Below are 17957 nucleotides of genomic sequence, written 5' to 3' on the forward strand. Positions count from 1 at the left end.
TATGTTGGCCAGGCTGGTCTTGAACTCCTGACCTCATGAGCTGCCCACCTTGGCCTCCCAAAGTGCTGGGATTACAGGCGTGAGCCACCGCACTGGGCCTAGATTGGCGAATTCTTTCTTAGCCTAGCTAAGTAGGATTTTAGAGAAGGAACAGGGATGGGAGTAGGAGAGTGATTCCAAGTGGAAGGCACAGCTGGAACACAGGTACAGTATATGCACAAGAGAAGTTTGGAAACTCTCAATGAGTTGGACTAGAGTTTAGAGTTTGGGCTCTTGGTGATTTGTGACTTTAAACAAGTTACCAAATTGTTCTAGGCCACAGTTTTCTCCTTGGTTAAACGAAGGAACTAACTAAAATCAGTGGGTCTCTATCTTTTCTCATGGTGACTTAGATTGTACTCCCAAGACGCTTTGCAACCAAAAGTCCTAAATGAAATAAAAGGAGGTAATACTTCTTCGTTGTTACTGTGTTTTGTTTTTCTTTTTTTTTTTTTTGAGACAGAGTCTTGCTCTGTCATCCAGGCTGGAGTGCGGTGGCACAGATATCAGCTCACTGCAGCCTCTGCCTCCCGGGTCCAAGCAATTCTCCTGCCTCAGCCTCCTGGGTAGCTGGGATTACAGGTGCACGCCACTATGCCCCACTAATTTTTGTATTTTTAGTAGAGACAGGGGTTTCCCCATGTTGGCCAGGTTAATCTCAAACTCCCGGCCTCAAGTGATCCTCCTGCCTTGGCTGGGATTACAGACATGAGCCACCGCACCCAGACTGTTGTTATTGTTTAAACAATGAAATTCTTGTATGAGGCTGGGCATGGTGGCTCGCATCTGTAATCCTAGCACTTTGGGAGGCTGACACAGGAGGACTGCTTGAGGTCAGGAGTTTAAGACCAGCCTGGGCAACATAGCAAGATCCCATCTCTAAAAAAAATAATAATAATTAGCCAGGAGTGGTGGTGCATGCCTGTAGTCTCAGTTATTCAGGAAGCTGAGGTGGGTGGATTCTTGACTCTAGGAGATTGAGGCTACAGGGGGCTAGGAGCCTACCACTGCACTCCAGTCTAGGCCACAGAATGAGACAGTGTCTCAAAAAAAAAAAAAAAAAAAAAGATGACATTTTTGTATGATAATAATTATCACAGTATAGAGATTACAGACCTTTAACTTTTAGTCAGGCTTAGTGCCTGTCAAGATGGATTTTTTTCTTCATTTAATTAAAAAAAAATTTGTGGCCAGGTGTGGTGGCTCATGCCTGCAATCCCAGAACTTTGGGAGGTCAAGACGGGTGGATCAGCTGAGGTCAGGAGTTGGAGACCAGCCTGGCCAACATGGTGAAACCCTGTCTGTACAAAAAATACAAAAATTAGCCAGGCATGGTGGCTCGTGCCTGTAGTCCCAGCTACTTGGGAGGCTGAGGCAGGAGAATTGCTTGAACCTGGGAGGCAGAGGTTGCAGTGAGCCGAGATCGCGCCACTGTACTCCAGCCTGGGTGACAAGAGTGAAACTCTGTTTAAAAAAAAAAAAATTGGTAATATTTAATTAGAAACTACTTCAAATATTCAGAAATCTACAGATAATATAACCACCAAGATAAAAGTGATGTTTAACATTTTGTTTAATATTTAATATAAATATTATATTTAGTTCTAATCTTTTTTCTAATCTCTTTTTTTAAGAGATAAAATGATATAAATACAGCTAAAATCCCGTCCCCACCTCTTTTCTTCCTCTTTCTTAGAAGTGAGCACACTCGCTGGTTGATTCAGAATGTACTGCCCATGAGTTAGCCCTGCTCCACAAGCAGCAGTACTGTTTTGGGGAGTTTGGGGGGCTTTTGTGAGACAGGGTGTCACTCCAGTTGCCCTGGCTGGAGTGCAGTGGCATGATCTGGGCTCACTGCAGCCTCAGCCTCCCGGGGTCAGGTGATTCTTCCACCTCAGGCTCCCTAGTAGATGGGACTACAGGTGTGCCACCATGCCCAGTTAATTTTTTTTTTTTTTTATTTTTTAGTAGAGATGGGGTTTTGCCATGTTGCCAAGGCTGGTCTCAAACTCGTGGACTCAAGCAATCCACCCCATCTCGGCCTCCCAAAGTGCTGGGATTACAGTTGTGAGCTACCCAGCCTGGCCAGAAGTAGTACTGTTAAAAAAAAAAAAAAAAAGAAGTAAGCACTCTCCCAAAATTGCTGTCTTTCCCATTTAACTTTTTGTATTTTTCTACATATATATTTATAAATATATGACATTTTTGTGTTCAATTTTACATAAATGCCATACTGAATGTATTATCTTTAAACTTCCTTAACTCATTATGTTTTTAAGATTTATCTATCTCGATGGCATGTAAATCATTTAATTGGTTGTATGGTACTCCATTGTATGACTAACCCACAATTCATCCATTGATTCCCCTTACAGAAAGACAGGTTGTTTCAACATTTTTGCTATTATAATACAGTTGGAAGGAATATTCCTGCCAATGTCTCCTCGTACACACATGCAATAGATCCCCTAAGATATCAGAAGTAGAATTGCTGGGTTGTAAAATATAAGCATCTTTAATTGTAGGTTGAATATGTCCACTTTTGCCTAGGAATCCAATTAGGAGATGAAAATGATAGTATCAGTGACTGCCTCTGCAGAGTTGGTGATCAGTTGAGGCATCATCTCATGCTCTTAGGAGAGAAAAAACAGCAACATTCACTGTCATAGCTTTATTTGAATAATCCTTGTCTGTTTCCAAGAGCCAAATAAAAAAATTGGAAATGGTCACTTAATTAAATATCTACCTAATGCAATAATTGCTTCTAGAGTATCTTGGACACATGTGTATATAGCCTGTACTTGAATACTACCAGAAACAAAGAACTTACAACCTCTCAAAGTAGTCCAACTCTATTGGTTAGAAAATTATTTTAGGCCGGGCATGGTGGCTCACACCTGTAATCCCAGCACTTTGTGAGGCCGAGGCGGGTAAATCACAAGGTCAGGAGTTCGAGATCAGCCTGGCCAACATAGTGAAACCCTGTCTCTACTAAAAATAAAAAAAAATTAACCGGGTGTGGTGGTGTGCACCTGTAATCCCAGCTACTTGGGAGGCTGAGGCAGGAGAATCGCTTGAACCTGGGAGGCGGAGGTTGTGGTGAGCCGAGATCTCGCCACTGCATTCCAGCCTGGGTGACAAAGTGAGACTCCGTCTGAAAAAAAAAAAAAAAGAAAAAGAAAAAGAAAATTATTTCATAATCTGAAAACACCTGTGGCTGGGAAGCATGTGTCTGATTTTGAACTTAACCATCTTCTTCTTTCTTCTCCTTTTTTTTTTTTTTCCAGACAGGGTCTCATTCTGTGTACCAGGCTGGAGTGCAACGGTGCCATCTTGGTTCACTGCAACCTCTGCTTCCCAGGTTTAAGCGATCCTCCTAACTCAGTCTCCCAAGTAGCTAGGACTACAGGCACGCATCACCACAACTGGCTAATTTTTTTTTTTTTTTTTTTTGTATTTTTAATAGAGACAGTGTTTGGCCATGTTGGCCAGGCTGGTCTCAAACTCCTGACCTTAAGTGATCCTCCCACCTCAGCCTTCCAAAGTGATAGAATTACAGCCATGAGCCACACCCGGCCCAGTCACCATGCCTGCCCTAATTTTTTTTTTTTTTTTTTGACGAAGTCTTGCTCTGTTGCCCAGGTTGGAGTGCAGTGGCGTGATCTTGGCTCACCACAACCTCTGCCTCCAGGGTTCAAGCTATTCTCCTGCCTCACCCTCCCAAATAGCTGGGATTACAGGCACGCACCACCATGCCCAGCTGACTTTTGTATTTTTAGTAGAGACGGGGTTTCACTATGTTGGCCAGTCTGGTCTCGAACTCCTGATCTCGTGATCTGCCTGCTTCGGCCTCCCAGAGTGCTGGGATTACAGGCGTGAGCCACCGCGCCTGGCCAATGTTTATATTTTTTGTAGAGACAGGATTTTGCCGTATTGCCCACGCTGGTCTGGAACCAAAACGTTGGGATTACAGGCGTGAGCCTCCATGCCTGGCCGAGTCTCTGTTTCTTCTATGTAAAATGGGAGTAAGAATCATACCTAACTCACAACGTGGTTGGGAGAAGCAAATGAGTTAGTGTGTGTTAATGTATATGGGTGTGTGTGCGTGCGTGTACACATATGTATGTATAGATTTATGTATAGGTCTCTGCCTATATGGAGAGAGAGGAAGTGAGAAAGAGAGAAACTCAAGCAAGTGTAAGAGTACGAGTGGTATCTATTAGAAAATAATAAATAGTAACTGCAGTTGTTAATAGTCTTCTTCCTGGTGGGGCGAGGTGGCTCATGCCTCTAATCCCAGCACTTTGAGAGGCCAAGGCAGGTGGATCACCTGCGATCAGGAGTTTGAGACCAGCCTGACCAATTATGGTGAAACCCTATCTCTACTAAAAATACAAAAATTAGCCGGGCGTCGTGGCATGTGCCTGTAGTCCCAGCTACTCGGGAGGCTGAGACAGGAGAATCGCTTGAACCCAGGAGGCAGAGGTTGCAGTGAGCCGAGATTGCACCACTATACTCCAGCCTGGGCGACAGAGCAAGACTCCGTCTCAAAAGAAATAGTCTTCTTCCTGTCATCAGTCTCTACCAACGAAAGTTCATTCTGACAACAAATATTTACTGAGTTTCTGCTATGTGCCATAGACTGTGCTAGGAGTCACAGAAACATCACCCACTCTTCTCTATCAGTATATCTAAGATCCTCTGTGACCTTGCCAGCATTAAACAAGACTTTAAAATGGGGGTTCTCTGGCCGGGCGCGGTGGCTCATGTCTGTAGTGACAGCACTTTGGGAGGCAGAGGCGGGTGGATCACGAGGTCAGGAGATCGAGACTATCCTGGCTAGTACGGTGAAACCCCGTCTGTACTAAATGAAATGACAAACTGGTGGCGGGCGCCTGTAGTCCCAGCTACTCGGGAGGCTTAGGCAGGAGAATGGTGTGAACCCGGGAGGCAGAGCTTGCAGTGAGCAGAGATTGCCCCACTGCACTCCAGCCTGGGCGACAGAGCAAGACTCTGTCTCAAAAAAAGAAGAAAAAAGTGGGGGGGGGGGTGGTCTCTGCCAAAAACACAGGATGCTAAAATGATTTAAAAATGAGGGTTCTGGATTTGAATAGTGTAGGCTTTAATCCCAACTGTACCACTTCCTAGCTATGTGATTGTGGGAGTCTGTCTTTCTTTCTTTTCTTTTTTCTTTTTTTGAGATGGAGTCTCTCTCTGTTGCTCAGGCTGGAGTGCAGTGGCACGACCTCGGCTCACTGCAACCTTCGCCTCTAGGATTCAAGTGATTCTCCTGCCTCAGCCTCCTGAGTAGCTGGGATTACAGGCACGCGCCACCACGCCCGGCTAATTTTTGTATTTTTAGTAGAGACGGGGTTTCACCATGCTGGCCAGGCTGGTCTTGAACTCCCGACCTCAGGCGATCCACCCGCCCTTGGCCTCCCAAAGTGCTGGTATTACAGGCGTGAGCCACCGCGCCCGGCCGGGAGTGTTTCTTTTTCTTTTACTTTTTTTTTTTTTTTTTTTTTTGAGACGGAGTCTCGCTCTGTCGCCCAGGCTGGAGTGCAGTGACGCGATCTCGGCTCACTGCAAGCTGCGCCTCCCGGGTTCACGCCATTCTCCTGCCTCAGCCTCCCGAGTAGCTGGTTCTACAGGCGCCCACCATCACGCCCGGCTAATTTTTTTGTATTTTTAGTAGAGATGGGGTTTCACCGTGTTAGCCAGGTGGTCTCTATCTCCTGATCTCGTGATCCGCCCGCCTCTGCCTCCCAAAGTGCTGGGATTACAGGCGTGAGCCACCGCGCCCAGCCCGGGAGTATTTCTTAATTCACTAGTAGCACTTATCTCCCATGGTAAGTATTCAATAAATGTTAGATATTATTCAGTTTAATTAACCCAATGACCCTAACCAAGGTTGCAGCCTGAACCTGGGGAGCTGCAGATAGATGATCTCAAAGCTTTCTTCTAGTCCCAAAGTCTATGATTTTTTATATTCAGTAGAACAGCTGTGGTGGAGAGTTCAGGGGGAATGACCCACAATATTTTTAGGAGAAAGGCATAAAAGGCTTTGTGAGCGGTTTCACAAGGATAGGTTCTTACTCCTCTAAATGGGGAGAAATCTCCCTTGCGGAGAAATCACCAGCAATTAGAATACTACCTTTGTCTCTGGGAGTATTCAGGTATTCACAGACAAATTCGTACTCATGATGTGAGCAGAATTGGAAAAAAAAAAAAAAAAAAAAAAAAAAAACAAGCGACACATGGAGTGATAAACACTATAAATGCCAAATACATATATTCAGTCCTTACTGAGAGCGGGTGCTGTCTGGTTTTCACAGGAAAGACAGGCAGTGTTAAAAGGCTCAGACTCTGGTGTCAGGCAGATCTGGGTCTAATTCCCAATTTGCCAACTTATCAGGACCCCGGGGGCAAGTTGCTTTTAGCCTTTCTGCTTCAGCTTTCCTTTTCTGCAAAACACAGACAGCAATAGTACCTAGCTAAGAGACTGTACCCAATCCAGTGCGAATAAAAGTGAATTATTGTTAGTATCTGACAAATGGCACCCTATGGGTGACAAGTTTCCTTTGTCAGAAGGTGACACGTCTTCCCTTTCTGACTTGAGGTTTCACGGGTGGGGCCTGGTCTCTGCCTTAAGAAGATAGGCTTAGTGCCACCCTTGTCACCTTGGGAACTTCCTTAATAAAGAGGAGGGTCTCTCCTCCATCAGACCCGGGACTCCACAAGGCTGGAACTGCGTCTCTTCCTCAGAGGTGGGAGCAGCAGTGACTCCGCTAGGGTCAGATGGACCTAGTCGCTCCCATCACCCCGAGGGCACCCAGAGTGTGTGTGGCTGACTCCTCTCCAGGCTACTCAGCGTAGGCCCGATTCTCTTTCATTCTCTTCCTTAAGGCCCAGGAGACGTCAGTGAGGACTGTGCCACTTCAGCAGCCCCCCAGAGCAGGAAGGAGTGGGCTGAGGAGCCCCCCGGGGCCCTAGCCTGAGAGGTCCCAGAATTCGGGGGCTGAGAGGAAGTCTTAGGAGCTCTTAAGGGGCTGTGAGGGGACCTGGGGTTCAGTGGGCGAGCGTGTGGGCGGGTGTCCCAGAAGCGGTGTGAGGAGCGTTTTACCCGGTGGTGGGGTGGGAGGTGCGTCCGGGTAACTAATGGCAACCGGGCGGGGTGAGCCCGCTCTGCAGGAACTCCTCGACGGCGAAAAACTACGACTCCCAGGGTGCCCCAGGGCTTAGCCCAGCTTTCCCGCCCGCCCACTGGCTGCCGGTCCCGCAAGCGGCGAAGCCCATTGGCCACGGCGGTGCGGGGCTCCCCCACTAGCAGGTTAGTGGGCGCCGCCGGCAGCAGACGTTGACCGGGCGCGGGGGGGTAAGTGGGGGGGCCCGGCTAGCCATTCTGGAAGCGGCCGGGCGCAGTCTTCGTAGCGTACCCGCCGGCTGCGAGGCGCAGGGCGGAGGCGGAGACTGCGTGGCGCAGGCGCGTTGCTGGGCTTCTCCTGGGTCCCCAGACAGCTGGAGGAGATAAACAGAGGAGGAGGAGGGAGGGGAGTGCGTGTGTGAGAGCGCGCGAGGGAGTGTGAGTGTGTGTGAGCGCGGGTGTGAGGCGGTGCGCAGGGGCGGGCGGAGGCGCTGTCCGGCCCCGGCCAGGCGCCGGGCGGGGAGCATGGGAAGGGGCTAGAACTGCTCGAGCCCCCCAGCCCCCTCCCCGGGATCCGCGCCCCCCTTCCCGGGAGAGGGGCCGCCCCCCCCGGACGGACATGGGCTCCTGAAGTTGCGCCGCTGCCGGTCGGGGGAAGAGACCTGACAGGTACGGGTCACCGCCGCCCCCTGCCCTCCGCGGGCGCCGAGGCGGGGACCGGCTCCCGCAGCCCCGGTGAACGGGCCGCCCGCTCTGGGCCGGCTCCAGCCCTGCCGGCCTGGGGGCCTGAGCCTACCCGCCTCGGGGCCCCGGGTGTCCCGAGAGGGGCCAGGCCTCGCCGGGGCGGAGGGCAGAGTGGTCCGGGGGCGGGGTGGGGGCGGAGGGTTTGGTCGGGACGCGGGGGGAGGCTGTGGGAGTCCGGGGAGGCTCTGCGGAGGGAGAGGTGGAAGTCATTCCATCATGGGACTTTTTTGCGGAGTTTTTGTTTGACATCTGATCTGGCGCCGGAGTCAGGAAGAAGGGGCAGGTGTAAGTGCTGGGAGGGCAACGCCGACCTGACCTGCCCTCTTAGCTTCTCGCTCTCTCTCTTTCTGTTTTTCTCTCTCTCTTTCTGTGTGTGTGTGTGTGTGTGTGTGTGTGTGTGTGTGTGTGTGTCCACAGCAGATGCCTTCAGTGGCCCATCCTGGCACCAAACAACTCTGCCAAGGTGTTTCCACCAGGCGACTGTAGCACCCCGTATACAAAGGGCCTCTGCTTGGGAACGGGCTATTCAGTACCCACTTCAAAGGGTAAATAGGAAGTGAGGAGATAGAAGAGAGACTGCGAACCAGCAGGATCCACTTCTTGGACTGAAAGCCGCAGTGGGACGCCCCTTTGCCAGATTGGTTGACTTTGCTTGGTGGCTTGGGCTCTCTCTCCTCTGCGGGTGTACTCCCAGGGTTTCTAGAGGAGAGGTACAGGGGCCTGTAACTAATGTCTTAATAGCCGAATTTGACTGTTTTCCCCAGAGTTCTTTTCTTCTGTGACTTTCTTTAACCTCCTGAAGTACTGGTAGAGCAACGTTATAGTTTTTCTCTCAAGTTGGTGATTTTAGGAGCCTGGTAGGGTGGCTGAAGCTTCCCCATTCATTCCAAGGATGGGGTAGATGATCTGGGTAAAGTGGCAGTGAAGTCTTCCCTTTCTAACAAAGCCTGAAACCGTTTTGAGAAGAAACTATTTTGAGGGCAGCTTCTGACTCAAAGACGTTACGAAATCCCCACCTAGGACACCGGTATGCCCAGTGGTCCCTACTAAGCTTTTCTGTGTCTTTTAGAGTCGTTGAGTGGCCAGCTTCTGCTCACTGTACTGAAGGAACTACTTAATGCTATTTCTGTCTTGAGTTCTGGCTTATTCTTCCTTGTGATTCTTATATCTTTAGCGGGATTGAATTGAATTTTTGCTGTTGAGTGTAATAGCCAGATCCTCTGTAACAGACCAGGGAGTAACTAGTTGGGCTCCTTTGGGCCAAGTCTGAGACTTACTGAGGTTTCTTCATTGTAGGTTGTTGTATTTCGTTGGCAGGTGGGAAATGACCTTTTCCGTCATAGTTTGTGATCATGCTGCTTTAAGGCTGGAGTCCTGCTCTCCTTTCCTTTTTTGACCTATATGGGAGCACTTCTGTTCGAGTCTTATCTCAATTTGAAGGAACAGTGCTTTTGGATCAACTCTGCCGAATAATTGAGCAGTAGCCCATATTTCTGCCTGGGACACCTTCATTGAGGGTCACGAGGGAAAGAGAGAACACGTGTAAATATTATGATGATGATGTTAACAACTATTTACCAGTTTCATACAATTGACAGTTTTTTTTAGCCGGGAGGAGTTCAGTATTGACTCATTGGGCATCTTATGTAGGGTGTTTTTGCACACCTAGACTTTAGGATCTGGAAAGACAACTGAAAATCTTGAAGCCCACTGCCAAACATTTGTGGATCTTGGGCCAACTGCTAAGGAAGATCTAGACTATGACTTGGTCTTTAATTATTTTTATTTTTTTCTCCTTTATGTATGTATGTATTTATTTATTTATTTTTTGAGATGGAGTCTTGCTCTGTTGCCCAGGCTGAAGTGCAGTGGCGCGATCTCAGCTCACTGCAACCTCAGCCTCCTGGGTTCAAGCAATTCTCTGCTTCAGCCTCCCAAGTAGCTGGGATTGCAGGTGCCTGCCACCATGCCCAGCTAATTTTTGTATTTTTAGTAGAGATGGGGTTTCACCATCTTGGCCAGGCTGGTCTTGAACTCCTGACCTCGTGATCCACCGACCTCGGCCTCCCAGAGTGCTGGGATTACAGGTGTGAGCCACCGCACCTGGCCTCTCCTTTTATTTTTATTTTTTTGAGATGGGGTCTCACTCTGTTGCCTGGGCTGGTCTCAAACTCCTGAGCTCAAGGGATTCTCGTACCTCTGCCTTCCTAGTAGCTGGGACTACAGACACGGCCTCCGTGACCACTCTCTTCTCTCTTTTTAAAAATTAAGGAATGTTGCTGACATGTGCAGTTCTGAGTCTCAGAGAGGAAGTCAAACAGAACATGTAATCTGGTGATACTTGTGTTTTCTTTGGGTCACTGGTTTAGTTATCTATTCTGTTTCCTTTCTTCTTTCCACCTCACCTTTCCAGATGCTCCACTGTATCTTTAGGCTGCCATTGCAGATTGCTGGGCCCACAAAACCCTTAGGTTGTACTTTCTTAGCTGTCATCTCTTGAAAAGCCAAAGTTCTGGCAGTTGCTATTAGAAACCAGTTCCTGGCTGAGCGCGGTGGCTCACGCCTGTAATCCCAGCACTTTGGGAGGCTGAGGTGGGCAGATCACGAGGTCAGGAGATTGAGACCATCCTGGCTAACACGGTGAAACCCCATCTCTACTAAAAATACAAAAAAAATTAGCCGGGCATGGTGGCACGCGCCTGTAGTCCCAGCTACTCAGGAGGGATTTTCCTACTAAGGCAGGAAAATCGCTTGAACCCAGGAGGTGGAGGTTGCGGTGAGCTGTGATCGTGCCATTGCACTCCAGCCTGGGCAACAAAAGTGAAACTCCATCTCAAAAAAAAAAAAAAGAAAAGAAAAGAAAAAAAAGAAAGAAGCCAGTTCCTTGGTGTAGTTAATTTACTTTGAGAGGTATTTGCCAGTTGGGATATGTCCTAAAAAGTGACTGACATTTTATTCAGGGCCTGGTATATCTTGAGCTCAGTGCTAGCTAGTATTTTTACTTTATCCAGTGTAACCTTCATGACTGTCCTGTGAGGTGAGAATCATTTTCCCTATTATACCTATGAAGAAACAGATTCAGAGAAATTAAGTTATTTGCTTAAGGTCACACAGCAAGTAAGAGGAAGGACTGGAATTCAAACCCAGGTCTCTCTGCTCTGTGATATTGAATTGCCTCTGGGACTGTGACACATGAAGAAGAACTGAAAAGACCAAGGCTAAGAGCCTGGGGGAACATGATACCTCATTCAAATACTTGAAGATTGTCATGGGGAAAGGAAACTGGATGTTCTCTGTGATTCTAGAAGGCATCTCAGGATTAAATGACATAATTTCCAAGAAGGTAGACTTTGGTTTGATAGGAGATAATGTAGCTTTCTAAAAACAAAATGGGCTGCCTTGTGAGGGAGTGAGTTACCCATCATTGCAGATATTCAAGCAGAGAGTTTGCCACATCTTTTTTTTTTCTTTGAGACAGAGTCTTACTTCGTCATCCAGGCTGGAGTGCAGTGGCATGATCTCAGCTCACTGCAACCTCTGCCTCCCAGGTTCAAGTGATTCCCATGCCTCACTTCATCTTCCAGGCTGGAGTGCAGTGGCATGATCTCGGCTCACTGCAACCTCTGCCTCCCAGGTTCAAGTGATTCTCATGCCTCAGCCTCCCAAGTAGCTGGAATTATAGGCATGTACCACCACGCCCATCTAATTTTTGTATTTTTGTAGAGATGGGGTTTCACCATGTTGACCAGACTGGTCTTGAACTCCTGACCTCAGGTGATCCGCCCGCCTCAGCCTCCCAAAGTGCTGGGATTACAGGTGTGAGACACCGCGCCCAGCCCCGGCTAATTTTTTTGTATTTTTATTAGAGACAGGGTTTTGCCATGTTGCCCAGGCTGGTCTTGAACTCCTGAGTTCCACCTGCCTCGGTCTCCCAAAGTGCTAGGATTACAGGCATGAGCCACCGCTCCTGGCTTTTTTTTTTTTTTTTTTTTTATGAGACAGGGTAGATGGGAAGACAGGTGTGTGCCATCACGCCTGGCTAATTTTTTAATTTTTTCATAGAGATGGGGTTTCACTATGTTGCTCAGGCTGGTCTCAAACTCCTGGGCTCAAGCAGTCTGCCTACCTCAGCCTCCCAAAGTCCTGGGAATACAGGTGTGAGCCACCATGCCCAGCCTCCCTGTCTGTTTGATCTGTAAAACCTAACATGGCTTGGCACGGTGGCTCACACCTGTAATCCCAGCACTTTGGGAGGCCTAGGTGGGTGGATTGCTTGAGCCCAGGAGTTTGAGACCAGCCTGAGCAACATAGTGAAACCCAGTCTCTACAAAAAGAAAATTTAAAAATTAGCCAGGTGTGGTAGCATGTGCCTGTATTCCCATCTACCCAGGAATCTGAGGCGGGGGCATCACTTGAGTGCAGGAGGCAGAGGTTGCAGTGAGCCAAGACTGCGCTACTGAACTCCAGCATGGGCAACAGAGACCCTGTCTCAAAAAAAAAAAAAAAAAAAAAAAGCCAGTTGTGCAGTGGCTCATGCCTGTAATCCTAGCACTTTGGGAAGCTGATGTGGGCAGAGCTCAGGAGTTGGAGGCCAGCCTGGGCAACATGGCAAACCTGTCTCTACTAAAAATACAAAAAATTAGCCAGCCGTGGTGGTGCACACCTGTAATCCCAGCTACTTGGGAGGCTGAGTCATGAGAATTGCTTGAACCTGGGACGCAGAGGTTGCAGTGAGCCAAGATCGTGTGCACTCCAGCCTGGGGGACAGAGTGAGACTCTGTCTCAAAAAAAAAAAAAAAACCAAAAAAACCCAAAAAAACTAACATGTATTGAATATTTAGTATATACCAGGCACTTGCTAGATACTTTTTCTTTCTTTTTTTAAGACAGAGTTTTGCTCTTATTGCCCAGGCTGGAGTGCACACGATCTCTGCTCACTGCAACCTCCGCCTCCTAGGTTCAAGCAATTCTCCTGCCTCAGCCTTCTGAGTAGCTGAGATTATAGGTGCGCGCCACCATGCCTGGATAATTTTTGTATTTTTTTAGTAGAGATGGGGTTTCACCATGTTGGCCAAGCTGGTCTCGAATTCCTGACCTCAGGTGATCCACTCACCTTGGCCCCCCAAAGTGCTGGGATTACAGGCATGAGCCACCAGGCCCAGCTCTACTTTTTCTATAATGTCTCTTATAATCTTCAGAGCTCCCCTGGAAGGAAGGTATTACCATTATCCCCACTTTACAAATGAGAAACTGAGACTCTAGACTAAAGTTAAGGAATATGCTGGAGGTTACACAACTAGTAGTGTAGGGCTGATATTTGAACCCATGTCTCCTCCTTAGCTCTGTGACCTAGGGCCAATCATGTATCCTCTCAGAGCTATAGTTTCACCTATAAAATGAGGCTTATTGTAGTACCTACTTTTTAGTGGGTTTTTGAGGACTAAATGATGAAATATATCCTTTTTACTAGACCTCACTGATTGCCCTCAAGAGCCAGGGCTTGGATGTAAAGGAATACCACTTAGTTGGCTTCTTCTGGGTAAATTCAGGCCTATGTGTAACTCTGAGAGTTCTAGGGCCCATTCTTTGAGCTATTAAGTAATAGCTGCTGACTCCTTGAAGGGCTTTGTGGCATTGAAGACTAATACCTTAAAAACTTTTAAGCCTGGGCTGGGCGCAGTGGCTCATGCCTGTAATCCCAGAACTTTGGGAGGCTGAGGTGGGCGGATCACAAGGTCAGGAGTTTGAGACCAGCCTGGCCAAGGTGGTGAAACCCTGTCTCTACTAAAAATACAAAAATTAGCCTGGCGTGGTGGCGGGTGTCTGTAGTCCCAGCTACTCAGGAGGCTGCGGCAGGAGAATCGCATGAACTCAGAAGGTGGAGGTTGCAGTGAGTTGAGATCGCAACACTGTACTCCAGCCTGGGTGACAGTGAGACTCCATCTCAAAAAAAAAAAACAAAAAAACTTTAAGCCTGAATAAGGGGAGGATGCAGTCAAAAGGCCAGAGTGTATAGGAGGCAGTGTCAGAGGCCCTGTGCAAAGAAAATTCTCAGCTACTACTGCAGAGCCAGATTTGAGGGTCACCGTTGGCATTTTTGTATTTATTATCTTCTTTTAGGATACAAGGTCACAACTGCTAGAGCTGTAACAGAGCTCAGTGCCAAGAATAATGACCCTTAATCCTCCGTATAGCCATCTGGGGAGGTATTAACCCCATTTTCTTGGAGATGGGGTGGAGAACAGGATCAGACCTTGCCCAGGGAGCTCTCCAGAGGCTGTTGAGGGCAGTGTTTGGATCAGGACTTTTGTACAATTTTGTCCTTATTCATGACCCCCCAAATTCTATAAAACTGCTTATCCTTGAACCTCTTAGGGGGCCTTCCTGAGAATGGGAGCTAGGCATTCATGGTCAGGGAGCTTCATAGTTGAGGCCTGAGTGTTTGGGTGCTGATGGCCTACCTGGTTCCCTTTTGAGTTACACATCTGGATATAACACTACTGTCACTGAGTTAGAAAGGAAACATTTCTAACTTGAATGGTTTAGTTTTCCTTGACCTTGCAGCTAGTAGTAGAGTTACAGGATGAAACTCCAGAGCCTTCTCTACAAGAGATATTTTGAATTGTGGCAGGATTTGTCAGGATGCAAGTTAAAGACTGCAGATGCTTTTAAATAGTGAGAGAGTATAGCATTATCAAAATATGCTCCCTTTTCTCTGTTTCCTTCCACTATCTTAAGGTAATTGTGAGGCCTAAGAGCAGACAGGAAAATTAGCTATGATCACTGGAAAACAAAGTTCTGAAAACATCCAGAAAAAATTTTCACAAAGCTCAAACAAGTGGCTGGGTGTGATGTCTCACACTGTTTTTTTTTGTTTTTTTTTTTTTGAGAGTCTCGCTGTGTCACCCAAGATGGAGTGCAGTGGTGCAATCTTGGCTCACTGCAGCCTCAGGCTCCTGGGTTCAAGCGATTCTCTTGCCTCAGCCTCCTGAGTAGCTAGGATTACAGGCGTGTGCCATCACGCCTGGCTAATTTTTGTATTTTTAGTAGAGACGGGGTTTTACCATGTTGGCCAGGCTGGTCTCCAACTCCTGACCTCCAGTGATCCTCCTGCCTTGGCCTCCCAAAGTGTTGGGATTACGGGGATGAGCCACCGTGCCTGGCCAGATGGTTCACACTTGTAACCCTAGCACTTTGGGAGGGTGAGATGGGAGGATTGTTTGAGGCCTGGACTTCAAGAACAGCCTGGGCAAAATGATGAGACCCCCATCTCTACAAAAAATAAAAATAAAAGTAGCCAGGCATGGTGATTTGCACCTGTAATCCTAGCTACTCAAGAGGCTGAGGCAGGAGGATCCCTTAAGCCTAGGAGTTCAAAGTTGCAGTAAACTGTGATAGTGCTACATTCCATTCCAGCCTGGGGAACAGAGCTAGACCCTGTCTCTTTTTTTTTTGAGACGGAGACGGAGTTTCGCTCCTGTCGCCCAGGCTGGAGTGCAATGGTGCAATCTCGGCTCACTGCAACCTCTGCCTCCCGGGTTCAAGTGATTCTCCTGCCTCAGCCTCCCGAGTAGCTGGGATAACGGGTATGCACCACCACGCCTGGCTAATTTTTTGTATTTAGTAGAGACAGGGTTTCACCATGTTGGTCAGGCTGGCCTCAAACTCCTGACCTCAGGTGATTCACCCACCTCGGCCTCCCAAAGTGCTGGGATTACAGGCGTGAGCCACCGCACCCAGGCGACCCTGTCTCTTAAAAGCTCAAACAGCAATACGGAGCCCACTGGGCAGGGGAGAAGACATCAAGGTGAGTTTTTATCTAAAGCTTCCCAGAAAGTAAAGCATTGCTTAGAAGCAGCTCTCTTCTGCAGAGAAAACCTCAAGCAGTCCTACATGGGATTATTTAAGCCAGGAGCCTCAAAGATGGCTAAGAAGTTTCCTGAAGATGCTTTGGTGATGAGTCTATCCTACCAGCGAAAGCTTTCCCAGAAACTGTCCTTGTACCAACTTAGTCCATGACCTTGAAATGGCACTCTTTAAATTTGTGTTTGAGATCAGCAGAGTCAAGGCAGCTTAACCCTAAGGAATGGTAAGAGACAAAGTTTCAGCAGCTTCCTGAAATTGTATCAATACTGATATTACAGGTGTGAGCCGCTGCTCCCTGGCCAGTAATTTTTTTTTTTTTTTTTTTTTTTTTTGAGACAATGTCTCACTCTGTCACCCAGGCTGAAGTGCAGTGGCATGATCTCGATCTTGGCTCACTGCAACCTCTGCCTCCTGAGTTCAAGTGATTCTCCTGCCTCAGCCTCCCCAGCAGCTGGGATTACAGGCGCCTGCCACCATGTCCGGCTAATTTTTGTATTTTTAATAGAGACAGGGTTTCACCACATTGGCCAGGCTGGTCTGGAACTCCTGACCTCAAGTGATCTGCCCGCCTTGGCCTCCCAAAGTGCTGGATTACAGGTGTGAGCCACCACACCCGGCCCAGTAATTATTATTTAGTGGCCAATGGCCTGGCCCCTGGAGTCAGACTGTATAGGTTGACTCTCTGTCTAAGAACTGTGTAGCTTTGGCAACTTCACTTTTCTGTGCCTCAGATCCTGCATCTGTAAGATGAGGATAACAATAGCACCTGTCTCATAGGATTATTATGAGGAGTCTGTGAGATGACACTTGTAAACTGTTAGAATGTTCAATAAATATTATTTAATAGGATCAGTGTCAGGCATTTTACATGCAAGCGCTTCTGTTCCTCCTCACCCTGCAGAGGTAGGTATTATCAGATTAGGAAACTAAGGTTTAGAAGTGTCAAGTCAGGGTCTGGCATGGTGACTCATGCCTATAATCCCAACACTTTGGGAGGCTGAGGTGGGCAGATCGCTTGAGCCCAGGAGTTCGAGACCAGCCTGGGCAGCATGGTGAAACCCCATCTCTACAAAAAAAAAAAAAAAAAATGCAAAAATTAGCCAGGTGTGTGTGGGTGGTGCATGCCCGTGGTCCCAACTACTCGGGAGGCTGATGAGATGGGAGGATCTCTTGGGCCCGGGAGGCAGAGGTTGCAGTGAGCTGAGATCATGCTACCACACTCCAGCCTGGGTGACAGAGCCAGACCCTGTCTCAAAACAAATAAAAATTTTTTTAAAAAAATTAAAAAGATGAAGAGACGTAAGAGGTATAGAAAAGAAAAAAAAATTTAAAAGAAATGTCAAGTCAGACAGAAAATAGGTGTCAGAACTGGGATTTGAACCTAAGATCTGTTAGGTCCACAGCTACACTCTTCATTTTATTATGCTCTTTCTTTCTTTTGTTTTGTTTTGTTTTTGAGACAGCGCCTCACTTTGTCACACGGGCTGGAGTGCAGAGGCACAATCATAGCTCAATATAGCCTCAAACTCCTGGGCTCAAGCAATTCTCCCTCCTCCCTCCTGCCTCAGCCTTCCTAGTAGCTAGGACTACAGGAGTGTGCCACCATGCCTGGCTAATTTTTAAAAAACTTTTTTATAGAGACAGGATCTTACTCTGTTGCCCAGACTGCTCTCGACCTCCCGGCCTTCAAGTGATCCTCCTGCCTCGGTCTCCCAAAGCACTGAGATTACAGGCATGAGCTACCACACCTGGCCTTATGTTATTTCCAATGACCTTTATGCATTGAAAGTGAAGTTGAGTCCTTGCTTCGTTGCATCTTTCATCTTTTTTGTAGGATTGCTCCAATAGAACCACTATAAATAGAGTGAAAGGAAACTTGCATACATCTTTGCATAATTCAGAATGTTGAAAGGGGGTCAGTTGTCACCCTGGTTGGGGGCACGTCTCTGCTATGGGAGGTAGCATGTCCAGAGGAAAGAGAATACAGATGTTTTAGGTTCCATCTCTGGTCTGCTGCTAACCAGTAGTGTCTACTTAAAATCTCAGCATAGTGTCATCGGAAGGGGTTTTGTAGCTTATCTCAGAGTCCACCTCTCATTTTACAAACGGCAGAATAGACTGAGAGAGCAAAATGCCTCACTCAGGGTCATACAGCCAGTTAAAG

The 17957-nt window shown here is 47.6% G+C and overlaps 1 protein-coding gene and 1 long non-coding RNA gene across 10 annotated transcripts in view, besides 4 other annotated features; one reads left to right on the forward strand and one right to left on the reverse strand.

Annotated features, from left to right (window-relative positions):
- Window positions 1–2531: 2531 nt before the first annotated feature.
- On the reverse strand, window positions 2532–7330 carry WDTC1-DT (WDTC1 divergent transcript). 2 transcript variants are annotated; one of them, XR_947117.2, is made up of 3 exons: window positions 7163–7330; window positions 6346–6503; window positions 2532–2671 (listed from the first exon to the last, which is right to left on the reverse strand). It is a non-coding gene; the product is annotated as a WDTC1 divergent transcript (long non-coding RNA). The 2 variants fall into 2 exon arrangements; XR_007065560.1 differs by having other exon boundaries at window positions 6346–7255.
- WDTC1 (WD and tetratricopeptide repeats 1) overlaps window positions 7342–17957 on the forward strand; it is a 74196-nt gene continuing 63580 nt past the window's right edge. For 4 of the 8 annotated variants that reach the window (NM_001276252.2, XM_047449761.1, NM_015023.5 and 1 more), the window contains exon 1: window positions 7533–7852. The gene's annotated coding sequence lies outside the window, so the exon portion shown is untranslated. Of the gene's footprint in view, window positions 7415–7532; window positions 7853–8097; window positions 8213–17957 lie in introns of those variants that run through there. The other 4 variants (XM_047449749.1, NM_001410767.1, XM_047449760.1 and 1 more) reach the window with 4 other exon arrangements.
- Window positions 7353–7412: a silencer, noted in NCBI's record as "silent region_503". NCBI's record gives its function as "represses an Ori minimal core promoter by ATAC-STARR-seq in GM12878 lymphoblastoid cells {active_cell/tissue: GM12878}" and the evidence as "EXISTENCE:reporter gene assay evidence [ECO:0000049][PMID:35858748]".
- Window positions 7613–7762: a silencer, noted in NCBI's record as "silent region_504". NCBI's record gives its function as "represses an Ori minimal core promoter by ATAC-STARR-seq in GM12878 lymphoblastoid cells {active_cell/tissue: GM12878}" and the evidence as "EXISTENCE:reporter gene assay evidence [ECO:0000049][PMID:35858748]".
- Window positions 7953–8002: a silencer, noted in NCBI's record as "silent region_505". NCBI's record gives its function as "represses an Ori minimal core promoter by ATAC-STARR-seq in GM12878 lymphoblastoid cells {active_cell/tissue: GM12878}" and the evidence as "EXISTENCE:reporter gene assay evidence [ECO:0000049][PMID:35858748]".
- Window positions 8163–8212: a silencer, noted in NCBI's record as "silent region_506". NCBI's record gives its function as "represses an Ori minimal core promoter by ATAC-STARR-seq in GM12878 lymphoblastoid cells {active_cell/tissue: GM12878}" and the evidence as "EXISTENCE:reporter gene assay evidence [ECO:0000049][PMID:35858748]".

Source organism: Homo sapiens, chromosome 1 (assembly GCF_000001405.40).
Source record: "Homo sapiens chromosome 1, GRCh38.p14 Primary Assembly".
NCBI classification, from domain to species: Eukaryota; Metazoa; Chordata; class Mammalia; order Primates; family Hominidae; genus Homo; species Homo sapiens.